Source organism: Homo sapiens, chromosome 17 (assembly GCF_000001405.40).
Source record: "Homo sapiens chromosome 17, GRCh38.p14 Primary Assembly".
NCBI lineage: Eukaryota > Metazoa > Chordata > Mammalia > Primates > Hominidae > Homo > Homo sapiens.
This window is the reverse complement of record NC_000017.11, coordinates 44,988,715-45,015,851: the sequence shown is the minus strand read 5'-3', so window position 1 is coordinate 45,015,851 and position 27,137 is coordinate 44,988,715. Positions and strand designations below refer to the sequence as shown.

Here is a 27,137-nt window from a genome sequence, read left to right as displayed (position 1 = left end):
TTCCCTGTCTGTAAAATAGAGGCAGGTGGCCCCTACCCCACTGGTCTCAGAGTTTTTAAAAGAGATTATACAAAACACTGGACAGGGCTGAGGGGCTATTGTTATCTGGGGAGCCCTGCCCACTAGAAATATACTGTAAGCCACATATACACTTAAAAAAATTTTTTTAAACTAATTTGTTTAAGAGACAAGGTCTCCGTCTGTGGCCCAGGCTGCAGTGCAGCGGCACAATCATAGCTTATTACAGCCTCAACCTCCTGGGCTCGAACAATCCTCTCACCTTAGCCTCCTGAGCACCTGGCTAGTTTTGGGGGATTTTTTGCTTGTTTATTTGTTTGTATTTTTTGTAGAGATGGGGCTCTCACTATGTTGCCCGGACTGGTTTCAAATTCCTGGCCTCAAGTGATCCTCCCACCTCAGTCTCCCAAAGTGTTGAGATTACAGGAATGAGCCCCTGCACCCAGCCCATATATGTACTGTTAAATGTTCTGTTGTTGTTGTTGTTGTTGTTGTTGTTGTTGTTGACGACGGAGTTTCGCTCTTGTTGCCCAGGCTGGAGTGCAATGGCGCAATCTCCACTCACCGCACCTCTGCCTCCTGGGTTCAAGTAATTCTCCTTCCTCAACCTCCCGAGTAGCTGGGATTACAGGCATACGCCACCATGCCCGGCTAATTTTGTATTTTTCATAGAGATGGGGTTTCTCCATATTGGTCAGGCTGGTCTCGAACTCCCAACCTCAGGTGATCCACCCACCTTGGCCTCCCAAAATGCTGGGATTACAGGCATGAGCCACCATGCCAGGCCAATGTACTGTTTTTGGTTTTTTTTTTTGAGACGGAGTCTCGCTCTGTCGCCAGGCTGGAGTGCAGTGGTGTGATCTCGGCTCACTGCAACCTCTGCCTCCTGGGTTCAAGCAATTCTCCTGCCTCAGCCTTCTGAGTAGCTGGGACTACAGGCGAGCACTGCCACGCCCTGCTTATTTTTGTACTTTTAGTAGAGACGGGGTTTCACCATGTTGGCCAGAATGGTCTCCATCTCTTGACCTCATGATCCGCCTGCCTCGGCCTCCCAAAGTGCTGGGATTACAGGCGTGAAGCACCGCACCCGGCCAATGTACTGTTAAATGTTCTAATAGTCACATTTAAAAAAGTAAAAACAGGCCAGGCACGGTGTTCACGCCTGTAATCCCAACACTTTGGGAGGCTGAGGCAGGAGGATCAGTTCAAGACCAGCCTGGGCAACATAGGGATATGTCACGTCTACAAAAAAAGTAGCCAGGAGTGGTGGCGCATACCGTAGTCTCAGCTACATGAGAGGCTGAGCTGAGAGGATCACTTGAGCCTAGGAGGTCGAAGCTGCAGTGAGCTGTGATTGCACTGCTGCACTCTAGGCAACAGAGTGAGACCCTGTCTAAAAAAAAAAAAAAAAAATGTGAAAAGAAACACTTCAAATTAATTCAAATTAAATATGTATTATATTATATATAATATATATAGTATATATTATATATATTATATATTATATATAGTATATAATATATATAATATTATATATATTATATATATATATTATATATATTTTTTGAGACAGTTTCATTCTTGTTGTCCAGGCTGGAGTGCAATGGTGCAGTTTCGGCTCACTGGAACCTCCACCTCCCAGGTTCAAGTGATTCTCCTTCCTCAGCTTCCCGAGTAGCTGGGATTACAGGCATGCACCACCACGCCTGGCTAATTTTCTATTTTTAGTAGAGATGGGGTTTCTTCATGTTGGTCAGGCTGGTCTCAAACTCCTGACCTCAGGTGATCTGCCCACCTCGGCCTCCCAAAATGCTGAGATTACAGGTGTGAGCCACTGCGCCCGGCCTCAAATAATATTTTTTAACTTAACCCAATATATCTAAAATATCATTTCAGCATGTGGCACTAGCCACATTCCAGGTGCCCTGAAGCCACATGTGGCAGGAGCTACCGCACCGGGCCAGCAGAGATCTGGAATGAGAAGCCCACAGGATAGGAGCTTCTGCCCCGACCCCTGCCCCCTCCCTGTGATAGTGAGGAGGGACCTCTGGAGGCAGAAGGTGAAGTGAGCCCCTGAGAAATACAGGGCAGAGCCCCCCTTTTGCTGGGGGTGGGAGCAACTTTCTGGCCTCTGAGGCATTACAGTGCCCCAGCAGGGGCTCTCTGGGGGAGGCAGACTAATGACCACTTCGCCAGGATAGGGGCCGGGCTGGGGCAGACACTGAGCTCTCCTTTCCAGAGTCTCCTGGCAACTAGAGCAGCTGGTTTGGAGGGAAGAGCCTGACAGCTGGGCTTGGGTACTTCTCATTCCCAGTCAGTGCCTAGTCTTCTGGCTGTAGCATCTAAGGTAAGGCCCCTCTTGGAACTGCACCATCACTCAAATGGGAATAGCTGTGATCAACCCTGCTTTAAAGGCTGTAAAAAGGTTTCTTATACAAAGACAGTATGCTTGTAAGCCATGAACGTGCGCGAGGAAAAGAGAAAGTGAGGAGGGAGGGAGGGAGCCCCTTTTGAGGCCGCCCCTCCCTTGGTTGGCTATTGCTGGCTGTACTCCCAGAGTCTGCAGGGGCCCTCCAACTTCAGTGGGAGGCTGGAGAAAGAGGGTAGGATGGGCGGCCCAGAAAGGGTGTGATTTTCTGAGAGCCACACAGCACATCCAGCAGTGGGTGAGCTGGACACGCTGGGGTGGGGCCAGGATACCCAGGACCTCCTTCTCAGCTGCTCTAGGCGCGAGGGTTTGTGGGAAGGAGTGGACAGGGCTATTTCAGGGCAATGCAAAGGCAGCCGAGTGCTGGCTGGGAGGCCCTCGTGGGTCTAGTCTGACATTTTCTGCTGATGCTGGGAGCCAGGGAAGGGGACCTGGAAACCTGAATCTCACACCTGGGCCAGCTGATCTTGTGCCCAAGTGGTCCCAGCCCCTACTTCCCACTGGTCTTCCCTGTCCTAGCTGCACAATTGCCCTGCCTGGGGAGGAGTGTGGAGAGAAGCACCAGGCTACCCCAGGACCAAGCCCCCAGCCCACCTGCCAGGTCCCGAGAGCCACAGTGAGCCCTCAGTTATATCTTTGTTTTTGTTTTTGTTTTTGAGTTTCACTCTTTCCAGGCTGGAGTGAAGTGGCGCAATCTTGGCTCACTGCAACCTCCGCCCCCAGAATTCAACGATTCTCCTGCCTCAGCCTCCGGAGAAGCTGGATTATAGTCAAACCACCATACCCGCTAATTTTTGTATTTTTAGTAGAGACGGGGTTTTGCCATGTTGGCCAGGCTGGTCTTGAACTCCTGACCTCAGGTGATCAACCTGCCTCAGCCTCCCAAAGTGCTAGGATTACACTTTGAGGTGCCCAGCCCCTCAGTTATTTCTTTTGCAGACTGCAACTAAGGGATAGATCTGGGATTTAACTTTATTTATTTATTTATTTATTTATTTATTTATTTATTTATTTTTAGACAGGATCTCCCTCAGTCACCCAGGCTGGAGTGCAGTGGCACAAACATGGCTCATGGCAGCCTCAACATCCTGGGCTCAAGAGATCCTTCCACCTCAGCCTCCCAAGTAGCTGGGACCCTAGGCACGCAACACCACATCTAGCTAATTTTTTGTATTTTTGGTAGAGACCAGATTTTGCCACGTTACCCAGGCTGGTCTCAAACTCCTGGGCTCAAATGATCTGCCTGCATCAGCCTCCCAAAGTGCTGGGATTATAGGTGTGAGCCACCTGGCCCAGCCTCTTCTTTTACTTATTTATGTATTTATTTTTACACAGGGTCTTGCTCTGTCACCCAGGATGGAGTACAGTGGCATGGTCATAGCTCACTGCAGTCTACAACTGCTGGACTCAAGTGATCCTCCCTCCTCAGCCTTGCAAGTAACTAGGACTACAGGTGCATGCACCTGTAGTGCATTAGCACAGCGAGCTAATTTTTTTTCTTTTTTTGTGCAGATGGGGCTTCTCAATGTTGCCCAGGCTGACCTTGGACTCCTGGCCTCAAGTAATTCTCCCACCTCTGCCTCCCAAAGTGTTGTGATGACAGGTGTGAGCCACTGCACTTGGCCTTTCTTTTTTTTTGAAACGGAGTTTTGCTCTTGTTGCCCAGGCTAGAGTGCAATGGCACAATCTCGGCTCACTGCAACCTCCCCCCTCCCAGGTTCAAGCGATCCTCCTGCCTCAGCCTCCTGAGTAGCTGGGATTACAGGCATGCACCACCATGCTTGCCTACTTTTGTATTTTTTAGTAGAGACAGGGTTTCTCCATGTTGGTCAGGCTGGTCTCGAACTCCCAACCTCAAGTGATCCGCCCGCCTTGGCCTCCCAAAATGCTGGGATTACAGGCATGAGCCACCGCGCCCGGCCTTTCTTTCTTTCTTCTTCTTCTTCTTCTTTTTTTTTTTTTTTTTTTTTGAGATAGAGTCTTACTCTGTTGCCCAGGCCAGAGTGCAGTGGCATAATCTTGGCTCACCACAACCTCCACCTCCCAGGTTCAAGCGATTCTCCTGCCTCGGCCTCCCGGGTAGCTGGGACTACAGGCATGTGCCACCATGCCCAGCTAATTTTTGTATTTTTAGTAGAGACAGGGTTTCGCTATGTTGGCCAGGCTGGTCTTGAACTCCTGACCTCGTGATCTGCCTGCCTCAGCCTCCCAAAGTGCTGGGATGACAGGTGTGAGTCACCACACCTGCCATTTCTTTCTTCTTGTTTCAGGTTTCTTCCTTCTTGGTTCCATCCTACAAAGAACTGTTTCCATAGACATCCTCTCTGTACAGCTACTTTCAGCCTATTCTTCCCAGTTAGAGACTTACAGTGATTCCTAGTGTCTACCAAATTCCCTTTCAAACTCCTTGGTTTGGGATTCCAAGAGCCCTTCACCATCAAGCTCTTTCCACCTGACACAAACAGTAACCTTGTTTCCGGCCCAACTTGCTGTGCCAACTGGCCCTGCCTAAGGCTGTCCAGCCTCTCTGCCTTTGCCTGGGCCGCTTCTCCTCCTGCAACATCCTTCTTCCTCTCCACACCCAATTCTGCTGATTGAAATCCATCCATTCTGAAAGACCTGGCTCAAATGCCACCTCTTCTGGGAGGAATCCTTACCAGGTAGCCTCATCAGAAATGCTTGCCCTCCTCTGATCCATCTCCCGTAGCCCCTTGCATGTCCCAGGCCCTGGATCTTTCTCTCTCACAGCCTCAGACTCCCGGTAAGCCTCTGGAAATGGAAGCCCCTGGAGGGCAGAGCTATCCCAGCTGTCCATGAGTCCTCTCGGAACCCATTTCCCACCATTGCACTTCCTGCCCTGCTCGCTCCCCACCCCAAGGTAACACCAAGGTCGGATGTGAGAAAAAAATAGATGAAACAAGATTTTGCACATCACATTGTAAAACCCGCTCAGGCGCTCCCCTCCTCCCAATATTCTTACTGGACTCCCGCCTACCCTTGGCTCTGGTCCCTCTGGCTCCTCCCCATCCACCCAGTCCAGATGTCCAAGCCTGAGCAGCTCACCTGGAGAGACACCGTGTCTCTGTCTCCATCTCTTAGTCTGGGTCTCTGTCTGTGCTGCCAGTAGACCTCTGGCCTCCCCCATCAGACTGGGATCACTGGGAATGTGAGGACCTACCTTTTTTTGTCTTTGTCTCCTTTTCCCATCCCATTCAGTGGAGGATTTCAAAAAGCTTTGGAGACACACTTAACAAGATAAAAAATGAGAGAGGAAGCTGGAGGTGGGAGAGGTCCTGCTTCCTCCTCCCCCAGCCTCGGTCTCTGGCACCTTGCCAAGGTCACCTTTCAGAGCAACCTATCACGGGCCTTTGTCAGGATCATTCATCCTCCTTTCCAGCGCCCTCCGCCCTTGCCAACCCACCAGACTCTGTTGCCACTCCAGGCCCTGCCGCCACTCCAGGCCCTGCCAGCCCCAGCTCGCCTTACCAGTCCCTCACGCTCCAACTCTCTCCCTCTCCCCCCCATCTGCAACCACAGCACATCACAGCTGTCTGATTAGCTCAATTGATTAATTAAGCTCTAATGAGAGCCGTGACTCACCCCTACAGCTGCTGACCAGGAGGCCAGCCGTGCCCAGAAGGCCACTGAGGCTGCAGACATGGTCTTATGAGGGCCCAGGGGCAGGCAGCTCAGTGGTTGGTACCACTGAGCCATTTGCAGGGCACAAAGCTTGCCCATGGCTAGGTCTCTCCAAAAGCCTCCATGGTGAGGGGTGGGCAGAGGGGTTGCTCCCTCAACCAATCAGTGAGTTCCAGGATCTGGCACCAACTCTGCTGAAGTCAGGGAGGGCAGAGCAGACATTGATTGGCTGAGAGGTGCAGGGAGGGGAGTAGATCCCTTCAGAGTCCCACCTTGACTCCTGGGGCTTAGCATGCCCCAGGCCCAGAGGATAGTGAGCGTGGGGAAGCTGGGCACTGGCCAGAGGAACCAGACTTAGCCCTGCCAGCAGCCACCAACCCTGTGGTTTCTTTGCTCTGTCGCCCAGGCTGGAGTGCAATGCTGCGATCTTGGCTTACTGCAACCTCCATCTCCCAGGTTCAGTCGATCCTCCTGCCTCAGCCTCCCGAGTAGCTGGGATTACAGGCACGCGCCACCATGCCCAGCTGGTTTTTATTTTTAGTAGAGATGGGGTTTCACCATGTTGGCCAGGCTGGTCTCGAACTCATGACCTCAGGTGATCCACCTGCCTCAGCCTCCCAAAGTGCTAGGATTACAGGTGTGAACCACCGCACCCGGCCAAACCCTATGGTTTCTTCCATCCCCACAACTCCCAGCCATGTGGTGAGAAAACGCCCCCATCCAGCTGCTGGCTTCCAGTCTCGAATAGCCACAAGGACTCTGCAGAGCAAGTCCTCGATTCCCATTCCTCCCACCTCCGGCCTCCCTCACCACCCCGACCACTGACCCACCCCGCCCCCAGACTCTGTCCCTTGTCTAGGATAGGGGACAAATGCCCTCCATTAGCAACAATCATTGGCTGGGCACAATGGGTCACTCCTGTAATTCCAGCACTTAATCACGCCTTAATCCTCAACCTTGGGAGGCTGAGGTGGGAGGATCACTTGAGGCCAGTAGTTTGAGACCAGCCCAGGCAACATAGCAAGACCCCTGTCTCTACACAAAATTTTAAGAAAGAAAATTAGCCAGGTAAGGTTGCTCACGTTTGTAATCCCAGCTACTGGGGAAGCTGAGGCAGGAGGATTGCTTGAGCCCAGGAGTTCGAGGCTGCAGTGAGCTGTGATTACACCACTGCACTCCAGCCTTGACAAGGGTAGAATCTTGTCTCAAAAAAAACAAAAAACGATCATCAGTTAAGTGGGATTTTCCATCTTACAGACACCTCCATGTTCGTTCTTCCCCAGAATCTCACGAGGCAAACTGAGCCAGGAGTTCATTCTAGAGATGAGGAAACTGAGACCTCAACTTGCCCAAGATCACACCCGGGCGTTTCCTGCTTCCCAGCCTTTGCATTTGTCTTGAGTCACGCACTTCTCTTCAGCTTTGAGACGTCAGCTTAGAGGTCACTTCAGCCAGGATGCCCCGTCCCCCAGCTGCAGGTGAGGGCCCCCTCTTGTTGTGTTAACTTGCTCACCTCTGCCACGGGCCTGTGAGCACAGCTGCCGCTCTGTCTATACCTCCCGATTGCGGGAGGATCCTGCTCAGGGCCTCACAGGCAGTAGGGACATAAAGAATATTTAGAGTGGAGGAAAGAAAGGGAGGAGGGAAGAAATGAATGAGCCACACATGGCAGATAGTCTGAGCCCCCAGTCAAATGCTGAGAGGGAGGACATGGTGGAGGACCAAGCAGGGCTGCCCAGTCTGGTCATGTCAGCTGTTGATGTGCAGGGAGCCCCTGCTGCACAGCCCGCTGGCCCAGAGATCATGCAGGTAGTCACTTCCCCTCCCTGCTGCAGAGAGGTTAGGGTGGGACCAGGAAATCCTGGGAGATGGTGGAGGAAGATGGGCAGAGCAGGAGAGAGTGGGGAGGGCCTGGGAGTCAGGAAACCTGAAGTGGAGATTAAAGCAGTGGCTGGGTCAGGCACAGTGGCTCACATCTGTGATCCCAGCACTTTGGGAGGCTGAGGCAGGTGGATCACCTGAGATCAGGAGTTTGAGACAAGCCTGGTCAACATGGTGGAAACCCGTCTCTACTAAAAATACAAAAATTAGCTGGGTGTGGTGGCATGCGCCTGTAATTCCAACTACTTGGGAGGCTGAGGCAGGAGAATCACTTGAACCCGGGAAGCAGAGGTTGCAGTGAGCTGAGATCGTGCCACTGCACTCCAGCCTGGGCGACAGAGCAAAATTCTGTCAAAAAAAAAAACAAAAAAAACAGTGGCTGGAGAGTCCGAGACCTGGGTTGGAGTCCTGGCTTTGCTTGACCTCTCTGGGTGACTGTGGGCATGTGGCCTCCCCAGTCTGGCCTGTGAACCGAGAAAGTCTGATGGCATGGGCTCTGGGCCTGTTCTCCTGTTGAAGTCTGGGAGTTCTGTAGCCCCAAGAGACATCTGTTACTAGAGGGAGGGAGTGAAATGGAGATGGACAGTAGGAGGGGGTTGCAACACCTATTACCAATGGTGGGAGGGGTAATCACAGCCGGGAGCCTCTGGGCCCCACAAGGAGTCTCCACCACTCCCCCCAGCTCCTCTTCTGTCGCTGCCCCTCAGATTCAATTACCAGCTCAGCTTTCAAATCGGGCTCCAGCCAGTAACTTTACTGGAGAAAATTATTATGTGATTATTTCAACCTTGCTCCAAACGCTGTTTTAATTGGATCTGGGAAAAGGCGATTTGGGCATCAGAGGAGCCACGCGGGGGCGGGAGCAGCATAGGAATGTCAGGCAGGGGAGCCCCACCTGCCCATGAGGTTCGAAAGGCAGACAGGACTGCTTCCCAGCCCCCTACCTCTCCCCAGGCCCCCCACGTTCATCGTAGATGGAGGGTAAGCCTCAGCCGGAAAGAGAAAATGGGTGTGGGGAGAAAGGCTTCCCAGGCAAGTGGGTTGTGGAGGGGGTTGGAGGGGGTTGGAGGGGGTTGGAGGGGGTTGGAGGGGGTTGGGGGGGTTTGGAGGGGGTTGGAGGGGGTTGGGGGGGTTGGAGGGGGTTGGAGGGGGTTGGAGGGGTTGGAGGGGGTTGGAGGGGGTTGGAGGGGGTTGGAGGGGTTGGAGGGGGTTGGAGGGGGTTGGAGGGGGTTGGAGGGAACAGGTTCCTAGCAGCCTGTCTCCTGCCCAAAGCAGCCATCAGCCACTTAGAAAACTACTTTCCTGCCAATTTCCTTCCCTCCTCTGCCCCCAGTCCCAGCCCACCTGGAATAGACTTTTGCTCAAACACTAGCCCAAGGAAGCAGAGTTGGAAAGAACATTTGATTTTCCAGGATCCAGGAGGGCCTTTGAAAGGGATTTGGATTTATCTGCTCCTGGGATCACCCTTTCTCCCTGCTAGACAGATGACTGGTGTTTGAACATATGCTAACCTTTCTGAGCTTTGGTTTTCCCATCTGTCAAAGAGAGGGTCCTAGGTGACCCCCAAGACCCCTCCCAGGAACGAAGGAAGCCATTTGCACTGGTTCTCCCTGTGCTCTGGCTCTCCATGAGGCTAGAGAAGTCCAGCACCAACTCTTTGGTGGCCAATTCTGCAGGGGCTTGTAGGCGCTGAGCCTTGTAGAGCCCATCTGCCTCGCAGCTAAGGATGTCCCTCCCCACCCCGAGCCAGAGCTCAGCCAGGTGCCAGGAGCGAGAGTGGGCCTGGGATTGGGGCAGGAGGAGAGGGGAGGGGTGTGCTGAAAGGTTGAGGGGCCAGGAGGAAGGACGCATCTTCATGGTCTTGAGGTCTGGCTTTCTCAGGGCTCTCTGTAACTCCTTTTCTCCACACCTTAACAAACACCATGTCAACACTTCTTTAAAAATTGTTTATTTTGTTTAGAAATGAGGTCTTGCTCTGTTACCCAGGCTCGGGTGCATTGGCTCCATCATAGTTCACTGCAGCCTCTACCTCCTGGGTTCAAGCAATTCTCCTGCCTCAGCCTCCTGAGAAGCTGAAACTACAGGTGCACACCACCATGCCTGGCTAATATTTTAAATTTTTTGTAGAAATGGGGTCTTACTATGTTGCCTAGGCTAGTCTTGACCTCCTGAGCTCAAGTGATCCTCCCACCTTAGCCTTCCAAAATGCTGGGATTACAAGTATAAGCCACAGTGCCCAGCCAATGCTTTTTAAATATTTTTTATTTTTTTAGAGATAGGGTCTTGCTCTGTCACCCAGGCTGGAGTGCAGTAGCCCAGTCATTGCTCACTGTAACTTCAAACTCCTGGGCGTAAGTGATCCTCCTGCCTCACTCAACACTTTTTAAAAAAAATCGCTTAGGTGGCTCATGCCTGTAATCTCAGCACTTTGGGAGGCTGAGGCTGATGGATCACTTGTTCCCAGGAGTTTGAGACCAGCCTGGGCAGTGTTAGGAGACCTAGTCTCTAAAAAAGTTAAAACATTTAAAAATTTAGCTGGGTGGCTGGGCGTGGTGGCTCATGCTTGTGATCCCAGCACCTTGGGAGGCCGAGGCAGGCAGATCACGAGGTCAGGAGTTCGAGACCAGCCTGGCCAATATGGTGAAACCCCGTCTCTACTAAAAATACAAAAATTAGCCGGGTGTGGTGGCGCGTGCCTGTAGTCCCAGCTACTCAGGAGGCTGAGGCAGGAGAATTGCTTGAACCCAGGAGGCAAAGGTTGCAGTGAGCTGAGATCTCACCACTGCACTCCATCCTGGGTGACAGAGCAAGACTCCATCTCAAAAAAAAAAAAAACGAAAAAAAAGTTTAGCTGGGTACAGCCATGCCTATAGTCTCAGCTACTCAGGAGGCTAAAGGAGGAGGATTGCTTGAGCCTGGGAGGTCAAGGCTGCAATGAGCTGTGATGGCACCACTACACCCCAGCCTGGGCAACAGACTGAGAACATATATATATATTATATATATTATATATATATATAATATATATATATATATAATGCCTTAAAGGTGCCATTTTGGAGAATGTACTACTCACAGCAGGAATGTGTCTCCCCCACCACCCTTCCCCCCCACCCAAGACATGGGCACTGGGACTGCAGGGAAGACTGGCCAGACCCCAGCCCCAGCACCCACCTGCCATCAACAAGCATCACTGGGCATGGGTGAAGGGACAGTGAGGCAGGCGCAAAGAGGACAGAAGGTGTTGGTTCAATTCATTTGCCAGGTACTGAGCACCTATTGGGTTTGAGGCACAGGGCCAGTGCCACCTCCAGGAGAATAACAATCTGGTTTGGGAGACAGGACACTCTCTTCTTAGAAATCATCTAAAACTCTGAGACAGCAGGAGAGATGGTTCAGAAATGAGGCCGTGAGCACTCAGGAGCCAGTCAATCTCAACAGAACGAAGCCCAGGCAGACTTCCTGGGGAGGCAGTTTCAAGGAGGTCTCAGTGTGGTTTGGCTGAGAGGAGGTTGGTGGGTATTCTGAAGGACCAAACAGCAGAAATGCCCAGGGAGAAAGGGAAGCGGTGAGAGAGGAAGGAAGGTAGCTGTGAGATGCTTGCCTCTGTGCCTCCAACATCCCCTAATGCGGGAAATTATAATTTCCATTTTACAGACAGGTTCGGACCTTTGTCAGGGTCACACACAGCCAGGAGGGGACTGAAAGCAAGCTCTGCCGGTGCCCTGACCCTGTCCTTTCTCCAGCTTCACCTTGCCTCTCCCAGAGCCAGCCGGCCTCATGCTGAGGCACCAGCAGGCAGATGCAGAGGGCTCAGCTGGGAATGAGAAGGCCACTTCCCGAGAATTTCTGGAATCCACAAATAAGATCTGAGACAAACAGGACCCCGGCCCTTCAGGCGAGTGCCTGCCTGGAGATGGGGGTTTCAAAGGTGTGGATCACGGGGGAAAATTGTATTGTCAAAGAAGAAAACCAGTGCTGCCATCCCTCCTTCACTCATTAATTTCTGGGGAAGTATTAATTTCTGGGGAAGTATTAGCTGTCAGCAAGCAGCAGCCCTCCAATTCGAATTACAGAATTTGAATTCTTAATTTCTCCTAATCCATCAGTGAGCTGCCTTCCTGGGCTAATATTAGCAGCATTGGTGAAGCTTGTAACAGTCATTGATGTCTCCAGTCCTCTGAAAAAAGCCCTAATCAACAGAGCTGGGCCTGGGGCATGGGCCCCTAGAGGCAGGGACTCCGATCCCCACTCCCCAGCTGCCCCCAGTCTCCAGGAAGAGAGTGCAGAGTTTTACAAAGGTCCCTGGAGAGACGACAGAGAGAGAGAGAGAGAGAGAGAGAGAGAGAGAGAGCGCAAAGGAGAGGTGGGGAAGATGGAATCAGAGCCTGTGAGAGGCTTGGAACCAGGAAGAGAGGGAGAAAGGGGCTCAGGGAAAGACAAAATCAGTAAGACCAAAAGAGGTGGAGGCAGAGTGATGGAGAGACTGAGCCAGAGGCCCAAAGAGATGGATGGAGCCCGAGCTGGAGAGGAGGAAAGGAGCCTTTCAGAACGTAGAGTCAAAGCAACCCTCATTCAGACTCTGTGCAGGGAAAAAACACAGGAAAGCAAAACCAAAACCCTCCTGTGACTCCCAGGGTGTCATGGAAAGTGTGGTGTTCCACGGATTACATGGCCCCCATATCACTGGGCCCACCAGTTCACATTGCCTCTAGTTCTGGATCAGGCACCTTGTCTCAAATCACAGCTGAAAGACCTCCTCCGTCAGAAGGCCCTCTTGCTTTCTGTCCACCAGCACCATCTCTCTCTCTCTCTTTTTTTTTTTTTTGAGATGGAGTCTCATTCTGTCGCCCAGGCTGGAGGGCAGTGGCGTGGTCTCAGCTCACTGCAACCTCCGCCTCACGGGATCAAGCGATTCCTGTGTCTCAGCCTCCTGAGTAGCTGGGACTACAGGTGCGCACCACCAAACTCAGCTAATTTTTGTATTTTTAGGTAGAGACGGGGTTTCGCCATGTTGGCCAGGCTGGTCTCAAACTCCTGGCCTCAAATGATCCACCCGCCGCCTCAGCTTCCCTAAGTGCTGGGATTACAGGCATGAGCCACCGCACCCGGCCCACCAACACCATCTTTTCACTGCTGGGCAGTAACACTCTCTCCTGGTCAGCCACCCAGGTCCTGAAGACACTCTGTGCTGCTGCGTCTGTCTCCACGCAGGTGGGAAGAACGTGGGAGGCAAGCCGAGCACTATTTGTGCACTTCTTTTTATTTATTAATTTTTTTGAGACGGCCTCTCACTCTTTTGCCCAGGCCAGAGTGCAGTGGCACGATCTCAACTCACCGCAACCTCCATCTCCCGGGTTCAAGCAATTCTCCTGCGTCGGCCTCCTGAGTAGCTGAGATTACAGGCATCTGCCACCAGGCCCAGCTAATTTTTTTGTATTTTTAGTAGAGATGGGGTTTCTCCATGTTGGCTCGAACTCTTGATCTCAGGTGATCTGCCCACCTCAGCCTCCCAATATATGTCCACTTCTTATTTAATCTCTTCGACAGGGCCAAGAGGTACAGACTTTTTTTTTTTTTTTTTTTTTTTTGAGACGGAGTCTAGCTTTGTCACCCAGGCTGGCGTGTAGTGGCCCGATCTCGGCTCACTACAACCTCCACCTCCCTTGTTCAAGTGATTCTCTTGCCTCAGCCTCTCAGCCTCCCAAGTAGCTGGGATTACAGGCGTGTGCCACCACACGCGGCTAATTTTTGGTGAGACAGGGTTTCACCATGTTGGCCAGGCTGGTCTTGAACTTCTGACCTCAAGTGATCCACCCACCTCAGCCTCCCAAAGTGCTGGGATTACAGGTGTAAGCCACTGCACCCGGCTGGTACAAACTGTTATTACCCCCATTTAACACATAAGGAAACACACCTTAAGTCACTTGCCCAAAGTCATGGGGCAATGACATAGTGATTTTGGGATTTGAATCCCAGTAGGCTGACTCCAAAGCAAAGCACTTAACATCACGTTGGAGAATCTTGGGAAACCCCCGGGAGTTGTATATGGTGCAGTCCCCATCCTTGTTGAACTACCAAAGGTTGAAGGCCATGCCAGTCCTGCCCCATGACTTCCTCACATGACTCCAGTTCCATCAGCCAATCTTCTTACTAACATCCAGATAGCCTCGGACCCTCTGCCCCCATCCAGCCGACCCTGTCCCTCCCACCTGCCTTTCCATCTCTCTGAATCCAGGCCTTCACCTGGGCAGGCCCAGCTCAAGTCAGGCTTTCAGCTGGAAGCTTTTCCCCGCCTGCATCCCTAGCTCCATGGCCTGTCCCTCTCTGACCCAGTCTTTGTCCTTTCTGTGGATTTCCTGCCTCCTCAGCAAGTTCTGAGCCTCTCCATGCACAGCCAGGTGCCCTCTGAAGTCCTAGGACCCAGCTTTGCCCGGGCTTGTGCTCAGTAAATATTTGTGGACTTATCAACTGATTGATTGGTGAAGTGAAGACAGGAGACCTGGGACAAAGATGCCTGAGAACTCAGCAGTGTCCCTCTCAGCCTGGGCCCTGGGGAGGTGCTGGGGAGCCTGACACACACAGGTGAGGACTCCAGGCCCCAGCAGGTGTGAATGGCCAGGTGTTGGCACTCCCAGCTGCCTGCGGGTGACCCTGTCTCCCCAGGGTGGGAGGATTTGGGGATGTGTGGGGGGGAGAGGGAACTTGGGAAGTGAGTGCTTCAGGCTGCGCTGAAGTTCCCCTGGCCCCCAGGCTCTGCCCAGGCACCTAGGGCAGGAGGCAGACTCTAGGGTCTTCTCCAAGTTGAGATGTCTCTCCCCACTCCCTTTGCTGCTCCTGCTCCTCCCCTAGCCCCCACTGGAGAATCTGGGCCTGATAGAACTATTTTGGGCCAAACCTCTGAATTATGCATGGTCTGGCCAGTAAGCTGGCTCTTCCTGATCAGTGGCAGTGGGGGTTGGGGAGTAGAGTGATGGCTGCATTTCTCTTCCCGTGTAAGTGTCTGAGTTTGTGCAGGTGCCAGGCAGAGTGTGATGGGGTGGCATACATATGTTTGTGTAGACTTTGTGACTAAGGAATTGTGAATGTGCATGGGTCCACAAGTAGGAGCTATGGGGTCCCAGAGACTTTTTCCTTCTCTCTGAGGCTCCAGGATGGTGGGCCCCTGGGCTCAGTACCTTGTGGTTCCCAAATTTGTGTGTCTGGGCAGGATGGGCACAGGATGACTTAAGTCATCATCCTATTTCCATCCTGTCCCTGCCTTGCCTGCCCATGGGATCCTCAGGAGCTAGATGGACAGAAAAGAGATATCAACCTATCAGGGCCAGATCCAGGAGAGGGGAAAGAGAAGCCATTAACTGCCTGAAAATATTAGGTTGGTGTAAAAGTTATTGCAGTTTTTGTCATTGAAACTAATAGCAAATTACTTTTGCACCAGCCTAATAATAGCAGTAATGACCACTACGAGTTGAAGACCTCCTCTGGGTTTAGGTATTTTACATATATTAATTGAGTTAAATGTCACAACACTTCTATATGCTAGGTACTTTTAGACCCATTTTATTGATAAGGAAATGAAGGGTCAGAAAGACTAAGTACCTTGTTCAAGAGTGCACAACATGGAACTAATAGAATCAAGATTTTTTTTTCTTTCTTTTTTTTTTTTTGAGACAGTCTCACTCTTGTTACCCAGGCTGGAGTGCAGTGGTGCAATCTTGGCTCACTGCTAACTCTACCTCCCGGGCTCAAGTAATTCTACTCCTCAGCCTCCTGAGTAGTTGGGATTACAGGCATGTGCCACCATGCCCGGCTAACTTTTGTATTTTTAGTAGAGATGGGGTTTCACCATGTTGGGCCAGGCTGGTCTCGAACTCCTGACCTCAGATGATCCACCCACTTTGGCCTCCTAAATTGCTGGGATTACAGACATGAGCCACCATGCCCAGCCTAGAATCAAGATATAAACAACTAAGAAAATAAGGCAAGCCATATCCTGGGAGAAAATATTTGCAATACATATATCTGACAAAGAACTTGTATCCAGCAAACTCTTACAATTCAATAGGAAGAAGACAAACAATCCCATCGTAAAAGGGTCAAAAGAAGAGATAGGATGGCCAATATGTGCATGAAAAAAAATTCAGTATTATTCGTTATCAGGGAAATGCAAATTAAAACCACAATTACATACACTGCACAGCCATTGGAAGACTGACCATGGTAAGTGTTGATGAGCTTGTGGAGCAACTGGAACTCTCACATGCTGATAATGGAAATGTACAATGGTGCAACTACTTCAGAAAACAGTTTGTCAGTTTCTTGAAAAGTTAAGCATACAATAACCACAAGATTCGGTTATCCTACTCTCAGGTGTTTAACCAAGAAAAATGAAAATATATGTTTACTGAAAGACCTGTGTGTACACACATGCTCATGGTAGCTTCATTCACAGCAACTGAAACCCTGGAAACAAGACAAATGTCCATCAGCAAGTGGCCAGATTGTTGTATGTGCAAATAATGGGATACTTCTGAGCAACAAAAAGAATAAAGTACCACCATAAAAACAAGGATGAATCTCATCAACATTCTGCTCAGTTAAAGCAGCCAGAAACCAAGAGTACATATTACATAATTCCATTTATATGAAAATCCAGAAAAGACAAATCTAATCTATAGTGACAGAAAGCAGATCAGTGGTTGCCGGGGGCTGGGGGAAGGGTGGGGAACTACGGGGAAGAGGCACAGGGGAGCTTTTTGGGATGATGCAAATGCCCTATATCTTCATTGTAGTGGTAGTTATATGTGTCTATAAATTTGTCAAAACTCATCAAACTGAACACTTAAAATGTGTACATTTTATTGTATGTAAATTATACTTCAATAAAGTTGAAAAAAGAAACCAAGCAAGCTGAGCTGAACTCCACATTTGTAACTGTTATGCCCTGTGTGTCTCAAGGTAGTGGGAAGGGAGTCTTGGGCACCTGGGGCCCCTTTGAAGAAGAGAAAGCTTTACCATACATACAGGCAAGGCAACAAAGAGAGAGAGAGAGATCAAAGAAGAGAAAGGGTTGTGGTTCTTTGGAATTGACTACCCACCCCCAGTGGGAAGGAAGCATCCAGCTCCCCTCTGCCTTACTGGCCCCCACCACCCCAGGCTCTGTATGGCTTTCCCTCTAACCTGAGGGACTGAGCACCCATGGAAGTGTCTAGCCTCCTGCTGGGACCCCTCCCTGACCCCTCCTAAAGGCGACACCTTACAGCTTCCTCAACAGCATCATCCTGACTGGCAGATCAGGAACTCCTAGGGAGTCAATGTTTTGTTTCCCTCCACGAGGCCAAGCCTACCCCTGCTCATCCTCCTGGGAGCCTCTCCCGCTCATCATCCAGGGGACTAATATGGGCCTTGAGTGCAGCATGGGCACACTGCTCTAGGACAGGTTACCAAGCTTACCCACCCAGGGACCCTAAGGGTGTCCAGGAGGGGCTGGCTGGCCAGGCAGAAGGCCAGTGTGCTGGTGCTCCTGGCCCTTGGTCTCACTTGCTGCTGTCAATCACTGACGAATGCCTGTTAAGTGCTCGGCTTTGAGTTAAGCCCTATGCCTATGTTTCCTCTGTTAACCCTCCAGGCAGAGGCTCAACGAGGCCAGAGCTCTTCGTGCCATCATTTCACAGGTGAGGATGCTGAGGCACAGAGAAGGTAAGTAAAGTCACACAGCTAGCAGGTGGAAGGGAAGCTGACAGTAGCCAGTGCTTGCTGTTCATTTCCCAGCAATTCTTGCACCAGCTTCCCTTGAATCCCTTGGAGGGTTTTCTTAACAGTTCAGATTCCTGAGTCTGTGCTTTGTCCTTATCTCCTCTAGGCTCTCAGGGATCCATACCCTCTAGTCCCAGCTAAAGGATAAGCCCTGCCCCCTGCAGGGGCCTCTGGGCTGCGGCTCCCCTGGGCCAGCCCCAGTACTGAGCACTGGGCTCCGAGTGGATGGGCACAGTGCCAGTGCATCTGACTGAGTAGCATGGGCAGGGCTGAACTTGGTCAGGATCATCCAGGGTTGGGGGACCAGCAGGGAAATGAGATCTACAAATAGCAGCAAGTTGTTCATTGATTTCCATCCTGTTCAGAGGAGGCCTGGGACCAGCAAGAACAGGATTGGTTTTGAACTAAAGTGGGAAGGGCAGCTTAGTTTAGGGCAGGCAGGCAAAGTCAGGAAGCAGGATACCCAGGGCCCTGTGCCTCACGTAGGTACGAGGTCCTTGGCTGTGTCCTGTGGAAATGGTACCCCTCCTCTATCCACCTCTGGGGATGCACGTTCCTGGAAGATGGCCCCCAGCTCCACCTGGTATGACCTGCAAGTTAGGAAGGGCTGGGAAAATGCAAAAGTAAAAGGTTCCACTGCCAAAATTGCCTGCTTTTCTAAAATGGCCCATATTTCAAACATCTTGCCCTATCTCTCCCTTAAGCATACACAACCAATCATACCATATGCTCATATGTGGGGATCAGAAAAGAATCTTCATGCCTTAAAAGAGCATTTGAGGCCAGGCACGATGACTCACGCATGTAATCCCAGCACTTTGGGAGGCTGAGGCAGGTGGATCATTTGAGGTCAGCAGTTCAAGACCAGCCTGACTAACATCGTGAAACCCCGTCACTACTAGAAATATAAAAATTAACCAGGCATGGTGGTGTGTGCTTAGTCCCAGCTACTCGGGAGGCTGAGGCAGGAGAATCTCCTGAACCCAGGAGGCGGAGGCTGCAGTGAGCCGAGATCGCGCCACTGCACTCTAGCCTGGGTGACAAAGGGAGACTCCATCTCAAAACAATAAAACGTAAAAATAAAATAAAAGGGCATTTGAGAGGTCCCCTAACCACCACTCCTCCTCAGCTTCTTCCATATCCTGCTTGCTCCCTTGGCTCCTGCAAGTTGGTTCTGTTGCCCGTGTTCCCACCATCCCCTCTCTGTGCCTTTGCACGGGCTGTTCCCTCTGCCTGGAATGACTACCCTCTTCTCCATGAAGCCATGTCCCAGGAGTCCTGAAGACCCAGACTAACTCCTGCCTCCTGCTGAAGGCTTCCGAGCTGTCTGAAGCCTCCTGAGTTCTTCCTTCCTTAACTCCTGTGGTTTATACCAAGCAACCTCACTCCTGCCATCTTTGAGTGTGTGTGTGTGTGTGTGTGTGTGTGTGTGTATCTACACGTAGAGGCTCAATGAATGCTGCACTCCTGTGATTTCTTGGACAACAGTCCCATCTCCTCCACTGGGTAGAAAGGACCCCATCCATCAGGAGCCACATCTTATCCATCTCCCTTGTCCCCACCCCTGCAGGAAACAGCAGAGCAGGCAGCTGCTGCCTGGTCAGCATTAGACTCCGAGCCTCAGAGACGCCGGCAGCTGGGAGGAACCACTGGGACATCTTGTCTCCTTCCCACCAACTCAGAACGTTCTCATGACAGAGGACAGTCCTTGCATCACTCTACGAGTTTCCACCGTATCGTCTGGAGGTGGCCAGTGGAAGCGGGGTGGGTATCTTGACGTTTGGCCTGCCTTCCATCTCCCCCATCTCCAATTTACTCAGCTCCCCAAGCCCTTTGTGCTTCCCACATTCGCCCTCTGTCTTGAGCCAGCAGCCCTGAGCAGCCTTCCAGCTCCTGAGCCCCGCCGGCTTCAGCCGGTGATGTGAGTCCAGCACCCGAGCAGACGGTGACTCTTCCCAAAGCGGGGCTAGAGAGCAGATAAAGGACCCAGAATCCAGAAGTCATTGCCACTGGGCTCAGCCTTGTTTCAGCTCCAGACAAGTCCAGGGGGCCTATGGTGGTGCCCACGAGAGGACGAAGAGAGCCCAGAGATCCCCCCTCAGGGCAGCCAGAGACAGCTTCCTTCCTCAGAGAAAGAACTGAGTCTCCTCATTGAATGATGGGGAAACTGAGGCCTGGGGAAGGGACATGACTTGACCATGGCAAGTCAGAGTCAGTCCAGGAGCCGGTTTCTCCTCGGGCATATGGAATCTCCTGGGCCTGGCTCCAAGGTTGGCAGCAGGCAGGGATTACAGTTAGCACATGCAGATCCCCGGGTGGGCCCCACAGAGCACAAGGGTGGACAGACAGCCTCCCAACCCGGGAGGCCGGGGCCAGGCCACAGCTTCCAGAGACAGAGTGATTTCCTGCCACTCGGTCCCTGGGCCCAGAGCAGCTGCTCCTTCGTCTAATGAATGGCCCTGGTCCTCAGTCCCTGGTGAAGGGGGATCAGGAGCTTTTGCTCTGCTTGAGTCTCCAAGTCTCTGTGGAGCTTTCCATCAAGCAAGGGCAGCCAGGAGGGGTCAGGAGGGGCCGAGGCAGCACGCAGGGCCGACATGCTGAGAACTGCACCCCCTTCCCACCTCTCAGCCTCCTTTCTGCCCTGGCCCGCCCTTCCTTCCTTCCTTCCTTCCTTCCTTCCCTCCCTCCCTCCCTCCCTCCCTCCCTCCCTCCCTCCTTCCTTCCTTCCTTCCTTCCTTCCTTCCTTTCTTTCTTTTTGAGATGGAGTTTCACTCTTGTCGCCCAGGCTGGAGTGCAATGGCATGATCTCAGATCACTGCAACCTCCACCTCCCAGGTTCAAGCAATTCTCCAGCCTCAGCCTCCTGAGTAGCTGAGATTACAGGCATATGCCACCACACCCAGCTAATTTTTGTGTTTTTAGTAGAGACAGGGTTTTACCACGTTGGCCAGGCTGGTCTCGAACTCCTGACCGCAAGTGATCCTCCCACTTCGGCCTCCCAAAGTGCTGGGATTACAGGCATGAGCCACCGTGCCTGACCTGCCCTGGCCATTTCTTAACTCCTTGTTCCCTCCTCCCCTTGCTCCCAGCCTCTGCCCTTCTGGGCCTCCTCTGCCTCCCCTCTCCTCCTTCCTCTGCAGTGAAGAAAATTCTTCCCATCCCAACTGTAGTGCAGCTGGGCAGTACTGGCTGGTAGGAGTCGATAGGGCCTGGTGAGAAGGAGAGGGACAGGTCTAGACACCCAGCAGCTTCACCACTGGCCAACTGGACAAGTCCTAGGAGCTGGAGGAGGTTCAGATTAGTTCCAGCCAGTGCCAGGGAAATCTAGCTGTAGCCAGCAGCCATCTGAAGAGTTGCTGGTGACACACAAGGGTCCAGCAGGAAGTGACATGATGATCAGTGATTGGGGGATCCTTGTTGGATAGATGGGCAGTGGAGACTGGTTACGGACAGGTAATTTGGGGTGGTCCATTAGGGTAGGTCTGTAGTGAAGGTCATTATTGGATGTTGATTGTAGCGATCTCGGTGATGGGTGGTCATGACAGGCAGTTGGTTCTGGTTGTGCATCCATAGTACTGTTGGGCCATCAAGCTGATCAGTGGATGGTTGGGGAGACATTAGACAGTTGGCTGGGCCTGGGCCATCAGTGTTAGGAGGCTGGGTTGGGTCAGTGGGTGGTCAGTACTTTGGTGGATGATCAGTCTTAGCTAGGCAGTGTTAAGAGGTTGATGTTGGGTCGTCAGTGTTTGGAGGCTGGGATAAGGGGGTCAGTCCCCACATCTCTAAGGCATGACACCCCCTCTCCCACTCTGAATGGGGCCTGAAGGGCTCAAGCAGCTCTGAGCTCAGCCCCAGGTTCGCTGCCCTCATGTCTTCCTCTAGGCCTAGGCTATCCTCCTTGCTCAGCCAAAGTAAAGCTGTCCGGAGGCAGAGGTGGAGGCTTGGTCTCCTGGGATCCTGGCAGGCTGGAAGGCAGGGCCAGGTCCCTAGAAGTGCTGCATGGGACATGGGGGATGGAGTGGGCAAGAAGCTGAAGTACTTAGGGATGCAGCAAAGCTCCACAGTGGGGATGGGGCCTGAGAGGCCAGGATGCTCATTGATGAATCGATTCCCATTATTGATGCTGCTTGGAGAAGTTTTGAAAGACGGAGCTGAGGGAGAGGATAGGGTTCTCTTGGAGAAAGCCATGGCACAGCCTGGCCACTCAGAATACAAATGAGATTGCCTGCTCATCCGCCAGGCCCTTCACAGCTGCCCCCTGCAGTGCTGGTGGGAGCTGGGGGCCTGCACCCGGGCACGCGGTGAGCTGCAGATATGGGAGTAACCCAGCACTGGGCAAGCTGCAGAGTTGCAGGCAGATGAGCGGGAGCATTGGGTTTCCATGGGACAGTCACAGGGAGATGGATTTTGGCTTCCTCTGAGGATAGTTTCTCCAAAAGCAGGTCATTCTCCATAAGAGAGAGCTTCCCTACTTCAAGAGGCAGTGTGTCCCAGCAGAGCCTAGAAGACCCCCCCTCTCAAGAAAGATGGCCTTTGAGGCACCCCTCTCCCCCAGCCCTGCCACTATATTGTTGTGAGGGTCCCATTTGTGGTGTGAGTGGTGGGAAAGGGTCATACCCTGCCAAGGGCTTATGGATGCTCACCACGAAGTGACAGAGGGTAGCTGCTCTGACGACCATTGCTAAGGGTCCAGGCAGAGGGAAGGGGGCCACTTGGTCAGAGCTGAACCCATCTGATAGCACATCACTGCAAGGAAAGTCTCATGGGTCCCCAGGCAGGAGCCGGGAAGGGACAGGGTAACTCATTGCTGTGAGATGGGGATGGGGCGGGGGTGGGGTGGATGTTTCAGGATGGAGCCAATGCTGGAGCTGCTATGACCATTAGATCACAGGGGTAGAGGCTGGAGGGGGCCTCTGATGGGGGAGACACAATCTCAGCCTTAGGTGAATGTCCACTCTGATGGAGGAGACTCAATCCCTGTCCTCGAAGCTCCAGTGTGATAAGAGTCCTTGCTTTGGGAAGCCCTCAAATCTAAAGTGGGAGGAAGTACCTGCCTTGAGAGTGTCCATTGCTTGGAGGAAAACAAGAGGTAAGCTGTCCTGATTGGAGCAGATGTGCCAGTGAGACAGGACCTGAGATGAGAGGCAGGAATGTGGAGGCCAGCACAGCCCCAAGTCTGCAGCTGTGATGGACTGAGACCCAGGCATACTGACTTCCTGATCCAACTTCCCAGGGCTGACCTAAATTCACTCCCACTGACTGTGACACAGCCTGCCCCACCTTCCATGTGTGCTGCTTTGGGCTCCCCTAGGCTCCTGTTGAATTACTGGAGATACTCAACCCAGCAAAAGGCCAGGGCTGCTGCTCCCTGGCAGACAGGTGGAGCTCTCCAGGTGGGCCTCCCCTCTACTGTGCACACACCACGCACAACATGGCCTTCTCCAGCTGGGGCTGGCCTTGTCTACATCACCACCCTTCACCCAAGCACCCATCCACAGGAAGTCTCCAGGGGGACTTAGGCTCAGAAGATGAACAACTCCTTCTGTATCAGGCCTGGATTCTCTGCGTAGTTGTGTCAACAACTTGCTGTGTGAATTTAGACTAGTCTATCTCCCTCTGTCCCTCTGGATAATGAATGGGTTGGACCCAATGGCCTCCCAGGTCCCTGCAAGCCCTGACCGTCTCTGAGCAGGAGTGATTGACAGCAGTCTCTGCTTGAGGCTCTGCCATTTAGCAACACGTGACTTCAGACAATGATTTAGCCTCCTGGAGCTTCAGTTTCCTGTAAAATGGGCACAAGAAAAAAAAAATAATGTTCACAAGAGCTGAACCTGCCTCCTGGGACTGTTGGGAAGATTCAGTGAGACAACGCCAGTAAAGTGCTTGATACAGTGCCTGGCAAATAGTACGTGCTTGACAAATGCCACTTATGGCCACTGTCATGATTATTTTCCTCCTTTGTAGCCCCTCTCTGGACTCCACTCCCCCTTCTCTAGGCATCTATGCTGCAGCTGGCCTTCTGCCCAATTCTTGTCCCATTGGATCAGCTCCCACACAGCCTACCACTGCATTTCTGTAAGTACCACCTTCCCCCAGCCCCGCTTCCCAGGGACAAGGCTGCACAGCCCCATCCCTATACCTCGTAACCACTGAGAGGGCCCTCCCATCTCAGCCCCCCTCTCCTGCAATTATGTAGAGCAAACAAGAGCAGCTGATGGGGAAGGAGTTGCTATTAGCTTAACCTTTCGGGACTGGAGCTGCTGGGATGAGATGGGGAGGCCACAGGGAGGGGGCTTCTGAAGCAGGTGGAGCTGGGAGAGGGAGGCAGAGGAAAGGAGGCAGAGGGGGCTGCTCACTATGAGCTACTAATGGGTAGGATGCGGGCCCAGAAAAAGCAAGAAAAGGAACAGAATGAAAGGAAGTCATAAAAGTGGAATTAAGGAGACTAGAACAAAAAAATGGAAGAAGTAGGAGACAGAGGACAGGCTGGGAAAACACAGCTCCAGATAGCTGTGCAGAGAGCTCCTTGTCCTGTTCGTCATACCACCCAGCCTCTTGCAGCCAGTAAGGCGGGAAGTGAAAAGCATTAGAAAGGCTTACTCTGCTTGACACTGTAGAGAATCACAGAATGAAGATTACCTGAGCTGCAAGAGACCTCCGAGCTCTCAGACACCACCTGACCCAGCTCTCTCATTTTACAGATGGAGAAACCAAGGCCTAGAGAGAGCTTTGCCTTTCCCAAGTCTCAGTGAATGTGGGCGGGAACTGGGTGAACATTCAGGCCCCTGACTCGGGACCCTGAACTCCTCCTCCTACACCATCTCCCATCCATCTGTCCATGAATCCATCCATCTGTCCCTCCAACCGCTCGGGGAATATGAGCTCTCACTTAGCCAGAGCTGGGTGGCCTAGTGAGGTCCCCAGCTGGGAGGGACTCAGATCCGGTGAGAATGACTCACGTAAATAAGGAAACGACACACAGGAGTTCCCACCAGGTACCACACACAATAGCTTTCCTTGGCAAATTTATTTATTTATGTATTATTTATTTTGAGATGGAGTCTTGCTCTGTCGCCCAGGCTGGAGTGTAGTGGCACTATCTTGGCTCACCGCAACCTCTGCCTCCGGGGTTCAAGCGACTCTCCTGCCTCCACCTCCACCTCCCACTCCCGAGTAGCTGGGACTACAGGGGTGCACCACCAATCCTGGCTACTTTTGTATTTTTCGTAGAGACGGGGTTTCACCAGGTTGGCCAGGCTGGTCTTGACCTCCTGACCTCAGGTGATCCGCCCTTCTTGGCCTCCCAAAGTTCTGGGATTACAGGCATGAGCCACCGTGCCTGGCTGGTAAATTTATTATTATTAAAGTGTGTTGATATCTGCAGTGAACAAATATCCCCTTCTGTGTGAATCAGGAAGGCTTCAGGGAGGAGTTGACTTTGATCTGGGGCTTAAAGGATGAACTGGAGGAAACTGAGCACTGCAGTTTTCCCAACAGAGCCAAGATAAGGTGCTGGGAGAAGCTGGGGGTCAGAGGGGGCTCTGACTGTCTCTCCCATTCCCCTTCACTTTGAGTTCTGGGAGGGAGGATGAACCAGGTGTGCAAGGGGGTGGAGAGGGACCTTTTCTTCTTGGGGTAGAAGGGGTGATAGGTAAGTTTGGTCTTGTGCAGTTGCTCAGGCGCTGCAGAGGGGGTAGCTGAGAGTGGTCAGGTACCGAAAGGAGATTCCTGCCTATCTTTCTTCCCCCATGTCTCTCTGTTTCTCTCATCCCCTGCTCAAGTGGGCTAGCCAAGAGAGGGGACAAGTGGGACTCTGAGATCTTCGGGAGGCCTGGGTGAGAGCCCCTTGGCCTGACCTCCACTGGGCCAACCACCAGGACTCACTGTACCGCTTCACCCTCCATCCCACTCAGGGGGCTGAGGGAGGCAACGAGGATGGTGACAGTTGGTGGGGGAGGCCCGACTCATAGTTAGCCCACAGCCTCGGCGAGACGGCAAGGAATATTTTTAGGAGCTCATTAAACAGGGAAGAAAGAAAAGGAAGGGAAGGAAGGAAGATGAGGATTATGCATTATTTTTCATCCAAGTGACAGCTCTGAGCATCTCCACTGGAACTGTCATGCAAAAGAAATGGCATGTCTAATATTATTACGGAACCAGTGTGAGTGCGTGTGTGTGTGCATGCGTGTGTGCCACCAATGTGCAACTCTGTGGGGTGGGGGCCCACGGGTGAGCCCATGCGGGTGGCGCTGGGTGAGGGTGCTTGTGTGTGAAGCTGCGTGTGAGCACCAGGAAGCTGGGACTGTGACTGTGGGAGAAACTGCGAAACGGTGTGCAATGGGCCGTGCAGACCGCGTCCAACTCTATGTAATTGGGTGTATGTAACTCTGGGTGCGTGAGACATCACTGGAAAGCCTGGGGGGGGGAGTGCACAGTCACAGGTGAGGGAGCAGCCAGCATGCGTGGCTATAGGGGGTGCACAAATAGGAGGTGGAGAGTAGGTGCAAAGGGGCTTCCGGCCCAACCCCCAGGAGGCAGTAGGGAAACGAGAGTGGGCAAAGGGGGACACTGGGCCCACCTGTCCTTGTCCTGAAGGAGAGCAGTGGCCAGAGGTCCCCCTTCCCACTCCCACACACTGTCCCCTCATCTGCCCTGGCTGACTGTGGGGTGGCAAGGGCACGGTCCCGCTGATTTGAGTTCAAAGTTCTCTTCAATTGAGCTCGATTTGGTAGTAGCTTCATAAAGATGATCACATTGAATTTCCAGAACACGCTGGTAAGGTAGGTAACTATTACTATTCCCATTTGATGAGCAAAGTGTGCTTGAGAGTCCAGTTCAAAACTTCACTGATATCATGGAAGCCAGTAGGAAGCAAAGCTGAGGTCTGTGTTTATTTTGTGTAATTTAATTAATTTTTGAGACAGGGTTTTGCTTTGCTGCCTAGACTGGAGTGCAGTGGCTCAATGATGGCTCACTGCAGTCTGGACCTCCTGGGCTCAGCAATCCCTCCTCCCCCAGTATCTGGGACTACAAGTGTGCAACACCATGTCCATATAATTTTTTTTTTTTTTTTGAGACAGAGTCTCGCTCTGTTGCCCAGGCTGGAATGCAATGGCGCGATCCCGGCTCACTGCAACCTCACTTCCTGTGTTCAAGCCATTCTCGTGCCTCAGCTTCCCGAGTCGCTGAGATTACAGGTGTGCATCACCACACTCGGCTAATTTTTGTATTTATTTTTTGTAGAGACGGGGTTTCACCATGTTGGCAAGGCTGGTCTCGAACTCCTAACCTCAAGCAATCCGCCAGGCTTGGCCTCCTAAAGTGCTGGGACTACAGGCACCCGTCTCCGCGTTCTGCAGCACAGCTGAGATTTGCATCTGAGTCTCCAGGTGGCTTCTCAGGGTTGGCAGAACTG

The 27,137-nt window shown here is 52.2% G+C and overlaps 1 long non-coding RNA gene across 2 annotated transcripts, besides 5 other annotated features; it reads left to right on the top strand.

Moving 5' to 3' along the window:
* Positions 1-1,850: 1,850 nt before the first annotated feature.
* LOC107987243 (uncharacterized) lies at positions 1,851-27,003 on the top strand. 2 transcript variants are annotated; one of them, XR_007065771.1, is made up of 6 exons: positions 1,851-2,365; positions 7,369-7,563; positions 17,595-17,640; positions 19,293-19,486; positions 23,687-23,797; positions 26,966-27,003. It is a non-coding gene; the product is annotated as an uncharacterized LOC107987243 (long non-coding RNA). The 2 variants fall into 2 exon arrangements; XR_007065772.1 differs by lacking the exons at positions 17,595-17,640; positions 19,293-19,486; positions 23,687-23,797; positions 26,966-27,003 and adding an exon at positions 11,624-13,292.
* Positions 2,442-3,228: an enhancer, noted in NCBI's record as "H3K4me1 hESC enhancer chr17:43089992-43090778 (GRCh37/hg19 assembly coordinates)". NCBI's record gives its function as "activates a minimal SCP1, AML or CMV promoter by ChIP-STARR-seq in primed H9 embryonic stem cells {active_cell/tissue: H9 hESC(primed)}" and the evidence as "EXISTENCE:reporter gene assay evidence [ECO:0000049][PMID:30033119]".
* Positions 7,217-7,717: an enhancer, noted in NCBI's record as "H3K4me1 hESC enhancer chr17:43085503-43086003 (GRCh37/hg19 assembly coordinates)". NCBI's record gives its function as "activates a minimal SCP1, AML or CMV promoter by ChIP-STARR-seq in primed H9 embryonic stem cells {active_cell/tissue: H9 hESC(primed)}" and the evidence as "EXISTENCE:reporter gene assay evidence [ECO:0000049][PMID:30033119]".
* Positions 9,248-10,204: an enhancer, noted in NCBI's record as "H3K4me1 hESC enhancer chr17:43083016-43083972 (GRCh37/hg19 assembly coordinates)". NCBI's record gives its function as "activates a minimal SCP1, AML or CMV promoter by ChIP-STARR-seq in naive and primed H9 embryonic stem cells {active_cell/tissue: H9 hESC(naive and primed)}" and the evidence as "EXISTENCE:reporter gene assay evidence [ECO:0000049][PMID:30033119]".
* Positions 11,494-12,257: an enhancer, noted in NCBI's record as "H3K4me1 hESC enhancer chr17:43080963-43081726 (GRCh37/hg19 assembly coordinates)". NCBI's record gives its function as "activates a minimal SCP1, AML or CMV promoter by ChIP-STARR-seq in naive H9 embryonic stem cells {active_cell/tissue: H9 hESC(naive)}" and the evidence as "EXISTENCE:reporter gene assay evidence [ECO:0000049][PMID:30033119]".
* Positions 17,680-18,432: an enhancer, noted in NCBI's record as "H3K4me1 hESC enhancer chr17:43074788-43075540 (GRCh37/hg19 assembly coordinates)". NCBI's record gives its function as "activates a minimal SCP1, AML or CMV promoter by ChIP-STARR-seq in naive H9 embryonic stem cells {active_cell/tissue: H9 hESC(naive)}" and the evidence as "EXISTENCE:reporter gene assay evidence [ECO:0000049][PMID:30033119]".
* Positions 27,004-27,137: the final 134 nt, after the last annotated feature.